Source organism: Homo sapiens, chromosome 3 (assembly GCF_000001405.40).
Source record: "Homo sapiens chromosome 3, GRCh38.p14 Primary Assembly".
Taxonomy (NCBI): Eukaryota; Metazoa; Chordata; class Mammalia; order Primates; family Hominidae; genus Homo; species Homo sapiens.
The window spans coordinates 176,799,934-176,812,239 of record NC_000003.12 but is presented as its reverse complement, the minus strand read 5'-3'; positions in this window follow the sequence as shown (position 1 = coordinate 176,812,239).

Here is a 12,306-nt window from a genome sequence, read left to right as displayed (position 1 = left end):
TTGGACCACAGAGAAGTGGTTGATCCCCAGTGCTTAAGGGTAGGAAATTATAAATCCAATTATAAATGTCCAGTAATCCTGGGTGGAGCCTGGCCAGAATCTTTGTCTTCATTGCTGCTGATTTGAAACCCATTCTCTTGATCTAGTTCCATGACCAGAGGCTAAGGCAGAGCAAAGCCATAATGGCTCCTTGCAAAAAGCAACACCAATGAATTAAAAAAATTTTTTCTTTGGTTTCAATAGTGAAATAGCCTAGAAAGTCCATGTGCGATGCAGCCACAAAAGAGCTGTTGAGACAAGGAAGTCTATGTGGCAGGCCTGGGTTCACAGTGTGTCTGTGAAGCGGGGAAACCTGTGTATGGGACTTGGGGTGGGTGGTTGACTTGCCTTCAGACTTCTCTCCTTCCCTCAGCCTCCTCTTTACTCCCAACAGCTTAGTACATTTTTTTTTCTGACAAATCTTTTCTGGCTTAACCACATGCTAATTGTTGGTGATAAAAATGAGGAGAATTATAAAAAAGAAAGACAGGACTCGTGACCCATAGCTTCCTGGTACCTACGGTACAATCTACCCTCTAGTGACCTATGTCTAACCCTTTACTAAACCTTTTAACCATTTAATTTTATAGTTATAAAATAATATGTATTTGATAAAATATCTAGAAACTATAGAAAGTATATAGTGAAAGAAATAAAATATCATAATTCTGACATCCACATATACCTATTGGTGTATTTTCAGCATATGGCATGTTTGGAATTGTGCTATGTAAATTCTTCACCTGCCCTTTTACTTAACTTTTTTTGTGTGTGTGAGCATTGCTGCGTATCATTCGATTATTTTAAAAAGTAAGATTTTAATGGCTGCAAAGTAGTTCGTTGAAATACTATGAAGTTATATAAGTATCATTAGGCTTTAATAGATTATTTCATCTCTATTCTTCTAGAGAGTCAGGAATTCTTCACTGTGTTTCATCATTGAATATGTCTGCAGGAATTTATGATCATCATATCCAGTGGGGGTGACTGAAACTACCTTATGCCTGGGTAAAGACATTTTGGAGTTTTGTTTCATGGTACAATGTGACAGATAAGGAACAACAAAAAGGGCCTTCTGTTGGAGGTATGAGAAGTACCTAAGGCCAAATATGCGCATGAAACATTTCATTATCCTGCTTAGATTCTCTCTTCCCTTTTTCTGATTTATCTTTGCAATGTGACCTTATCCTCTGGCTACAGTCTGTAGTTCCAGATTTGGGTACCCGGCCCAAACTGGGCCAATTAGCATTTTGTCCTAAGACTTTGGACTAAAACTGAGAAATATCTTAAGTTACTGATAATTAAAGCTGGAAGATGTGCTGCCTGAGAGTTGTTGGTGGCTAAGTTAACGGCCATCTGGAAAGAGAAGTAAGAAGGCAATTGAGAGAGAGTGAGGGTGAGTGAGTGAGCAAGCAGGAAAGAGAGAGAAATGAAACAGGTATGCTAGAGGTAGCAATGATGAGCTGTGAGAAATGGAGAGAGAACTGCTGGCACTTTAACTGATTTGAGCTGCTCCACAGATTTTGGATTTCATGAGTACTAAGAATCCTTATTATTAAATGTTCCTTTCCTCTCTTTATTTTGGCTCAAGCTGGTTTTCTATCACTTGAAATCAAAGTCATCCTAATCCTTACCCTGATGGTAATTTAAAAACTGCCAGGCTCCAAATTCTGTTTCTGCCTGCCCTTTTCCTTGGAAAAATCCTCATCTGGATTCTTCTGTTATTTCTTGGTATAATTTATAAAAACTTCTTTTTAATTTCTCTGTTTTAGAGAAGCAGCTAAGGAAATAAACAGAAACATAGGGGAAATAAAAATGCCTTTAGAGGAGGGATGCTAGATTTGTGAAATTTTAAAATAATTAAAAATTTTTATGGTGTTTTCATGATGTTGACTATGAACTTGCCAACCTTTTACAGATGCAGAGAATGTTGTTTGCTAGTTTAGCTGAGCAAATTGCCCAAGTCTCTGAAGCACACTGAGGCCTCAGAATCATACCTCCTTGGTAAATGTGGTACTGTATTGTATAATGAAGTCCTTTAAGTATACTGCAAAGAGTATACTTAACCTATTTAAGAAACTCTGCTTTTTAAAAAATGTTCTGAAGTTGTGAGTACCTACTATGTGCAAATCAATGTCCTAGTTGAGCTGAAGGATACAAAGGAACTGAAAGCAAAAATGTATTGTGTTCTTAAACAAATTTACAAGAAAAAAACAACCCCATTGAAAAGTGGGCAAAGGACATGAACAGATACTTTTCTAAAGAAACCGTAAATGTGGCCAATAAGCATATGAGAAAAAGCTCAACATCACTGATCATTAGAGAAATGCAAATCAAAACTACAGTAAGAAACCATCTCACACCAGTCAGAATGGCCATTATTGAAAACTCAAAATAACAGTCGCTGGTAAGATTGTAGAGAAAAATAATTGCTTGTACACTGTTGGTGGGAGTGTAAATTAGTTCAACCATTGTGGAAAGCATTGTGGCAATTTCTCAAAGAGCTAAACATAGAACTACCATTTGATTCAGCAATCCCATTACTGGGTATATACCCAAAGGAATATAAATCATTCCATCATAAAGACACATGCATGTGTGTGTTCATTGCAGCACTATTCACAATAGCAAAGACATGGAATCAACGTAAATATCCATCAGTGGTAGACTGGATAAAGAAAATGTGGAACATATACACCATGGAATACTATGCAGTCATAAAAAAGAATGAGATCATGTGCTTTGCAGGAATGTGGATGGAGCTGGAGGCCATCATCCTTAGCAAACTAACGCAGGAACAGAAAACTAAATACCACACATTCTCACTTATAAGTAGGAGCCAAATGATGAGAACCACATGGACACATAGAGGGAAACAATAGACACTGGGGCCTATCAGAGGGTGGAAGGTGGTGGAAGGAGGGAGAGGATCAGGAAAAATAATTAATGGGTACTAGGCTTAATACCTGAGTGATGAAATAATCTGTACAGGCCGGGCAAGGTGGCTCACGCCTGTAATCCCAGCACTTTGGGAGGCTGAGGCCGGTGGATCACAAGGTCAGGAGATCGAGACCATCCTGGCTAACACGGTGAAACCCCGTCTCTACTAAAAAATACAAAAAATTAGCTGGGCATGGTGGCGGGCGCCTGTAGTCCCAGCTACTTGGGAAGCTGAGGCAGGAGAATGGCGTGAACCCGGGAGGTGGAGCTTGCAGTGAGCCAAGATCACGCCATTGCACTCCAGCCCGGGCGAGAGAGTGAGACTCCGTCTCAAAAAAAAAAATAAATAAATAAATAAATAATCTGTACAACAAACTCCCATGACACAAGTTTTCCTATATAACAAACCTGCCCATGTACCCCTGAACTTAAAAGTTAAAAAAAGAAAAAAGAGAAAAATTTGTTGTGCTTAGGAAAGGTATACTCTTTTGTTAATGATGTGTTTGTTCATGCATGCACCCCTGCTTGTGCTACTTTACGTTTATTTCTTATTTTTTCCTTGCAGCAACCCTTCATGGCCTATTTGTAGAATAGAAAACCTATGCTTATCTAGGTTAAGAAATGTACACAGTTGCAGCTATATACCCTGTTTCAGCTCAGCTCTGTGTGTCTTCAAAGACCATGGTTTTCACACAATTGTAGACTTTCACTACCTTGTGCTATGCCCTGTGTCTAGTTAGGAAGTAAAACATATGCACGTACAAATGTAGCCAGCACAAGAAGACAGGTACGCCATGCTCAGAACCAAGGTAAAAAAATGTGGAAAACAAATATCACAGAGATCCAGAGTAGAGTAAGTCCTCTCATGGGGGGCAGCCATGGATGCCTACATGTGCAAAGTGGGGCTTGAATTGGTCTGTAATGTAGGAAGTGGGCTTAGACACTAGAGAAAAGTGTGTGGAATTCTCTTAAGTAATAGAGGCTGCTGGAAATGTTAAGAGGAGATAGTGGCTACCAGGAATTGTGTCAATCTCACCATTAGTTATTTACTGGGCTAGCCAGGGAAAGGCCACCAGTTTTGCAGGGCTAGCAAAGCCAACTGCTGATTGACTTATTTAATCATCTGCTTGAGTACCCTGGGAGATTAGGACAGACTGGTGAAACGCACACAGACCTTTAGTTCTTATCTACAAAGTGAATTTGGCTCTTCACAGTGAATTACGTTTTCCATTTTCCTGTACACCCTATTTCAAATGGGAAAAATGAAGATATTTAAGTATAATAATTGCAATTTCATTGTCTTGGGTGTACTTCAGGACCAAAGCTCATCACATATTTTTCCTCCTTGCTTTGCCCCTAAAGACAATGTAAAGATTCAATTTCATGAGACCTTAATCAGGCCAAATACTTGGCTTTGAATACATGGTAAATTTACATTGAAAATAACAGAAGAAAATAACATAAAGAGGATTTGCTGTTTTGATTGTAGATCTCAATGGGTATATATAGCGTAGACTTCTCTTTGATAACTGTTCTAGAATGAACTGTTATATAGATAATTCAAGGTGGATCCAAACAGGGAATTTGTGCTTTGCATAGGCTCTTTTTTTCCCACTTCTGAGATCCAGAAGGCTTTAAGATAATATTTTTGATGAAATCTCCAATGTGTTAATGAGCAATGACCTAAATTTTAGGTCCCTGGTAATTGACACACATGGGGTTTATTTTATGCAATAGCACATTGAGGCTCTGTGTAAAGTAGATAATCAAACATTAAACCACTGGTGTAAAACCCACAGCATAAAGCATGAATATTCAGCTTCTTGGTTCTGCATTGCCCAAAGCCTGGCATGTAGCAGGGGCTCATGAAGTGTTAGATTCTCCTCAAGTATATATTATTTGCACCACTCATTTGCCAGTTTATTATTGGCTGCATTCTGCCCTCATTTATCCTTGTTTTCTTTTCTTGTATTGAGGCAGTATGGTATAATAGTTAACATATGCTGGCTTAGAATCCTGACTCTGACCCTTATGTGCTGTATGTGATTTACCTAATCTCTCTATACCTCATTTACCTTATTTATAAGATGAATTTAATAATAGCATTTACCTTGCAGGGTTTTTGTGTCAATTTAATAACTCCACACATGTAATGTGCAAAAGTGGCTGGTATCTAGTGGATAATCAATAATTGTTAAGTATTATTTTTTTTAATACTTTACGTAGAAAAGTGATCCTATAATCTTGTCTCTTTCACCAGTTTGTGGGTTCCTTGACCGTGGAAATTAATGCCTCATTTTACTCAGTATTCGTTACAGTTTGGGGCATAATAATTAGAATTTTTGGTATAATAATAATTTATGAAATATGCCTAATATATATGTACATTTATATATATGTATGTACTATGTCTATGTATAATATTATTTTAAATTATACATGGTAAGTTGAAAACAGATATTTGGAGATTTGTCATCTGCATGAAAAATTTGTCATTGACTATGAGCTCCTATTGGAGGAGAATGTGATAGGTCTACTTCAAACTTATCTGGTGGCATTTCAGGGCAAGTTGGCACCCAGCCTGAGGCTAACAAAATAAAGTTAGACTTGAAAGCTCTTTAATATCTATATTAGTGCTTGCTTATTTGGGGAATAAAAGAATGCCTGTGTTAGTCTGTACATGGTTCAATAGCATTGTGTTCAGAGATAGCACGAACACTATCGAAGTTTTAAACAGAGATGCATTTTATTGCTTTCTGAGCAACTGGGAATTTTCTCATAGAGAAGACGTAAGTGTGTAGTGATGTACCACTTTGGTGAATAAAATGAGACCTGCTGGTAACAGGGGGTAACTTTTATGCACATAGGACCAAATGTAGCTGGGAGATATAGCCCCGATAAAGAAAGATTAGAAGAAAATAATGCAGCTTTTGTGAAAATTGCTAGACAACATGTCACAGGAATACCACATAGAAGGATTAAACTTTTTTGGAGATAAGATGTCCACGTCTATAAAAAATGCCTGGGTTTTTCTCTACTCCACCATCTCATTTTGTCAATAAGAGTTGAGTTACAAGGCATTGGATTTTTTTTTTTTTTTTTTGAGACAGAGTTTCACTCTGTCACCCAGGCTGGAGTGTAGTGGCACAATCTTGGCTCACTGCAACCTCTGCCTCTGAATCAAGTGATTCTCTCGTGCCTCAGCCACCTGAGTAGCTTCGATTACAGGTGTGTGCCACCACACTGGGCTAATTTTTGTATTTTTGGTAGAGATGGGGTTTCGCCATGTTGGCTAGGCTGGTCTCGAACTCCTGGCCTCAAGTGATCTGACTGCCTTGGCCTCCTAAAGTGGTGGGATTACAGACATGAGCCACCATGCCCAGCCTGGGCTTGGGTCTTAATGAGATCAAGAATACATCATGGGTTAAGAAAGTATAGCAAACTGCCTGTTACTACTAAAATATTTATATAGATAACACATGTCCACTTTAAAAAAAATAGAAGGAAATTTTCTATTTTTTAAAAACTTTTATTGCAGATTTGTTTTATAGGTAAACTTGTGTCATGGGGTTTTGTTGTACCGATTAATTCTTCACCCAAGTACTAACCCTAGTACCCAATAGTTATTTTTCCTGATCCTCTCCCTCCTCCTATCCTCCCCCCTCAAGTAGGCTCTAGTGTTCATTGCTCCCCTCTTTGTGTCCATGTGTTCTCATCTTTTAGCTCCCACTTGTAAGTGAGAACATGCAATATTTGGTTTTCTATTCTTATATTAGTTTGCTATGGATAATGGCCTCCAGCTCCATCCATGTTCCCACAAAAGACATGAGCTCCTTCTTTTATATGGCTGCCTAGAATTTCATGGTGTATACGTACCACATTTTATGTATCCAATCTGTCATTGCTGGGCATTTAGGTTGATTCCATGTCTTTGCTATATTGTGAATAGTGCTACAATGAGCATACGCATGCATGTCTTTATGATAGAATGATTTCTATTCCTCTGAGTATATACCCAGTAATGGGATTGCTCAGTCAAATGGAGTTATATTTTTAGCTCTTTGAGGACACACCACAATGGTTTCCACCATGGTTGAACGAATGTACACTCCCACCAACAGTGTATAAGCATTCCCTTTTCTCTGCAACCTCACCAGCATCTGTTATGTTTTGACCTTTGAATAATGACCGTTCTGACTGGTGTGAGATGGTATATCTTTGTGGTTTTGATTTTCATTCCTCTAATGATCAGTGATTTTGACCTTTTTTCATATGCTTGTTGGCTGCATGTAGATCTTCTCTGGAAAGGTGTCTGTTCATGTCCTTTGCCCACTTTTTAATCATTGTTTTTCTCTTGTAAATTTGTTTATGTTCTTATAGATGCTGGATGTTAGACCTTTGTCAGATGAATAGTTTGTAAATATTTTCTCCCATTTTGTAGATTGTGTACTCTATTAATAGTTTCTTTTGCTGTGCAGAAGCTCTTAAGTTTAATTAGTTCCCATTTGTCAATGTTTGCTTTTGTTGTGATTGCTTCGGGCATCTTTGTCGGGAAATCTTTACCTGCTCCTATGTCCAGGATGGTATTGTCTAGTCTGTCTTCCAGGGTTATTACAGCTTTGGGTTTTACATTTAAGTCTTTAATCCTTTGTATATGGTGCAAGGAAGGGGTCCAGTTTTAATCTTCTGCATATGGCTAGCCAGTTATCACAGCGTCATTTATTGAATAAGCAGTCCTTTTTCCATTGCTTGTTTTTGTCAGCTTTGTCGAAGATCAGATTGTCATAGGTGTGTGGCCTTATTTTTGTGCTTTTTACTCTGTTCCATTAGTCTATGTGTCTGTTTTTGTACCAGTACCATGCTATTTTTGTTACTATAGCCCTGTAATATAGTTTGAAGTTGGGTAATGTGATGTCTCTGTCTTTGTTCTTTCTGCTTAGGTTTGCCTTGGCTGTTTGGAATATTTTTTTGGTTCCATTTGAATTTTAAAATAGCTTTTTTTCTTGTTTTGTGAAGAACGTCATTGGTAATTTGATAAGAATAGCATTGAATCTGTAATTTGCTTTGGGCAGTATGGCCATTTTAATTATATTGATTCTTCCTATCTATGAGCATGGAATGTTTTTTCATTTGTTTGTGTCATCTCTGATTTCTTTGAGCAGTGTTTATAATTCCCATTATAAAGATCTTTCACCTCCCTGGTTAGCTGTATTCCTGGATATTTTATTCTTTTTGTGGCTATTGTGAATGGGATTGTGTTTCTGATTTGGCTCTTGGCTTGGCTGTTGTGTAAGAATGCTAGTGATTTTTGTACATTGATTTTGCATCTTGAAACTTTGCTAATGTTATCAGCTGAAGGAGCTTTTGGGCTAAGAGTGTGGGGTTTTCTAGGTATAGAATCATGTCATCTGCAAACAGGAATAGTTAGACTTTCTCTCCTCCTATTTGGATGCCCTTTATTTCTTTCTTTTGCCTGATTGCTCTGACCAGGACTTCCAAATACTATGTTGAATAGGAGTGGTGAGAGAGGGCATCCTTATCTTGTGCCAGTTTTCAAGGGGAATGCTTTGAGCTTTTGACCATTCAGTATGATGTTGGCTTTGGGTTTATCATAGATGGCTCTTATTATTTTGAGGCATGTTCCTTCAATACCTAGTTTATTGAGAGTTTTTAACATGGAGCAATGTTGAATTTTATCAAAATCCTTTTTTGCATCTATTGAGATAATCATGTGGTTTTTGTCTTTAGTTCTGTTTATTTGATTAATCACATTTATTGATTTGTGTATGTTGAAACCCGCTTACATCCCAGGGATGAAGCATACTTGATCATGGTGGATTCACTTTTTGATGTGCTGTTGGATTTGGTTTGCAAGTATTTTGTTGAGGATTTTTGCATCAATGTTCATTGAGGATATTGGCCCAAAGTCCTCTTTTTTGTTGTGTCTCTGCCAGGCTTTGGTGTCAGGATGATGCTGGCCTCATAGAATGAGTTGGGAAGGAGTCCCTCCTCTTCAATTTTTTGGAGTTATTTTAGTAGTAATTGTACTAGTTCTTCTTTGTACATCTGGTAGAATTTGGCTGTGAATCCATCTGGTCCTGGGCTTTTTTTTAGTTGGTAGGCATTTATTATGGTTTCAATTTTGGAACTCATTATTGGTCTGTTTAGGGAATCAATTTCTTCCTGGTTCAGTCTTGGGAGAGTGTATGTGTCCAGGAATTTATCCATCTCTTCTAAATTTTCTAGCTTGTGTGTATAGAGGTATTCATAGTAGTTACTGATGGTTATTTTTATTTTTGTGGGGTCAGTGATAACATCTCCTTTGTTATTTCTAATTGTATTTATTTGAATCTTCTCTCTTTTATTAGTCTAGCTATCAGCCCATCTATCTTATTAATTGTTTCAAAAACCAACTCCTGGATTTATTGATCTTTTGAATAGCTTTTTGTGTTTCAGTTTCTTTCAGTGCATCTCTGATTTTGGTTATTTATTATCTTCTGCTAGTTTTGGGGTTGCTTTGCTCTTGTTTCTTTAATTCTTTCAATTGTGATATTAGATTGTAAATTTGAGATCTTTGTAATGTTTTGGTATGGGAATTTAGTGCTATAAATTTCCCTTCTAATACTGTCTTAGCTGTGTAAAAGATACTCTGTTATGTTGTATCTTTGTTCTCATTAGCTTCAAAAAACTTCTTGATTTCTGCCTTAATTTCATTATTTACCCAAAAGTCATTCAGAGAATGTTGTTTAATTTCCATGTAATTGCATGGTCTTGAGTGATTTTTTAAGTCTTAACATCTATTTTTATTGCAGTGTAGTCCAAGTGTATATTTGGTATGATTTCGATTCTTGTGCATTTTGCTGAGGATTGTTTTATGTCCAATTATGTGGTTGAGTTTAGAGTCTGTGTTATGTAGTGATGAGAAGAATGTATATTCTGCTCTTTCTGGGTGGAGAGTTCTGTAGAGGTCTATCAGATCTATTTGGTCCAATGTATAGTTCAGGTCCTAACTATCTTTGTTAATTTTCTGCTTTGATGATCTGTCTGATAATGTAAGTGGAATGTTGAAATCTCCCACTATTACTGTGCGGGAATCTGAGTCTCTTCATAGGTCTCTAAGAACTTGCTTTATGAATATGGATGCTCCTGTGTAGAGTACATATATATTTAGAATCATGAGGTCTTCTTGTTGAATTCAAACCTTTACCATCATGTAATGCCCTTTGTTGTCTTTTTTTGATCTTTGCTGGATTAAAGTCTATTTTGTCTGAACATAGGTTTGCAACTCTTACTTTTTTGTGATTTCCATTTGCTTGGTAGATTTTCCTCCATCCCTTTATTTTGAGCCTATGGGTGTTTTTGCATGTGAGATGGTCCCTTGAAGACAGCACACTCTTAGGTCTTGCTTTTTTATCCAGCTTGCCACTCTGTGCCTTTTAAATGGGACATTTAGCTCATTTACATTCAAGGTTAATATTGATATGGGTGGATTTGATCCTGTCATTATGTTGTTAGCTGGTTATTATGCTGGCTTGTTTGCGTGGTTGTTTCATAGTATCAGTGATCAGTGTACTTAAGTATGTTTTTATATTGACTGGTAATGGTCTTTCCTTTCCATATTTAGTGCTGCTTTCAATAACTCTTGTAAGGCAAATCTGGTGGTGACAAACTCCCTCAGAATTTGCTCATATGGAAAGAATCTTACCTTTGCTGAGGACGCTTAGTTTGTCTGGATATTAAATTCTTGGTTGAAGATTTTTTTTCTTTAAGAGTGTTGAACATAGGCCCCCACTCTCTTCTTTCTTGTATGGTTCTGCTGAAAGAGCCACTGTTAGCCTGATGAGGTTTCCTTTGTAGGTGACCTGCCCTTTCTCTATAGCTGCCTTTAACATTTTTTCTTTCACTTCTACCTTGGAAAAAATCTTAGGGATGATCTTTATGTCTTAGGGATGTTCTGTGTCTTAGAGATGATCTTCTTGTGTAGAATCTTGCAGGAGTTCTCTGTATTTTCTAAATTTGACTGCTGGCCTCTCTAGCAAGGTTGGGGAAGTTTTCATGGATGATATTCTGAACCGTTTTCCAAGTTGTTTGCTTTTTCTCTGTTCCTTTCAGAGAAGCCTATGATTTGGCCTCTTTAATAAAACCACTTTTCTTGGAGGTTTTGTTCATTTCTTTTTGTTCTTTTATCTTTACCTTTATCTAAGTGTCTTATGTCAGAGAGCCAGTCTTCAAGTTCTGATATTCTTTCCTCAGTTTGGTCTATTTTTCTTTCTTTCTCTTTCTTTCCTTCCTTCCTTCCTTCTTTTTTCTGACAAAGTCTGGCTCTGTTGTCTAGGCTAGAGTGCAGTGGCACAAACTTGGCTCACTGTAACCTCTGCTTCCCAGGCTCAAGCCATCCTCCCACATCAGCCTCCCAAGTAGCTGGGACCACAGAGGTGTGCCACCATTCCTGGCTAATTTTTGAAATTTGTGTAGAGAAACTTTGTTTCTCTTACTTTGTTGCCCAGGGTGGTCATGAACTCCTGAACTCAAGCAATCCACCTGCTTCAGCCTCCCAGAGTGCTGGAATTACAGGTGTGAGCCACCACACCTGGCCTATTCTGCTGTTAATACTTGCAATTGCATTGTGAAATTCGTGTAGTATGTTTTTCAGCTCTATGAGGTCAGCTTTTTTTTTTAATACTTGGTATTTCATCTATCAGCTTCTGTATTGTTTTTATCATGATTCTTAGTTTATTTCAATTGGGTTTTGCCCTTTTCCTGAATCTTGATGATCTTCATTCTTATATGTATTCTGAATTCTGTTTCTGGGGTCATTTCAGCCAACTTGGGCTGATTAAGAACCCTTGTTGTAGAACTAGTTCAGTCATTTGGAGGACATAAGACACTCTGGCCATATAACTTGCCAGAGTTCTTGCACTGGTTCTTTCTCATTTCTGTGTATGGATGCTCCTAGAAGGAAGTTTTCTGTCCCTCTCCTTTTTCACCCATTTCCTCCTTCATCTCTTTCCACCTCCTCTTCTAGATTTTTTTTAAGGTTTTTTTTGTGTTTACTCTTTTCAATTGTATTGGGATTTGAATTTCCACAGCAGAAAAGCACCTTGAAAATCATCCAGTTAATTTTCCTCTGATCAACAAGGAAACAGAGACTCAGAAAATCAGAATCACTTGTTCATGATTTTGTATTTAGCTTGTCTCAGAATATAGCTGATAAGTTTTATCTTTTGTCTCCTCTTTCTCATTTATTTTGGTGGGCAAGTGATCCAGAGAATCAATTAACATAACACGACTTTGAGAACACATTCAACTGGTTAGGCTGGTCTGTTT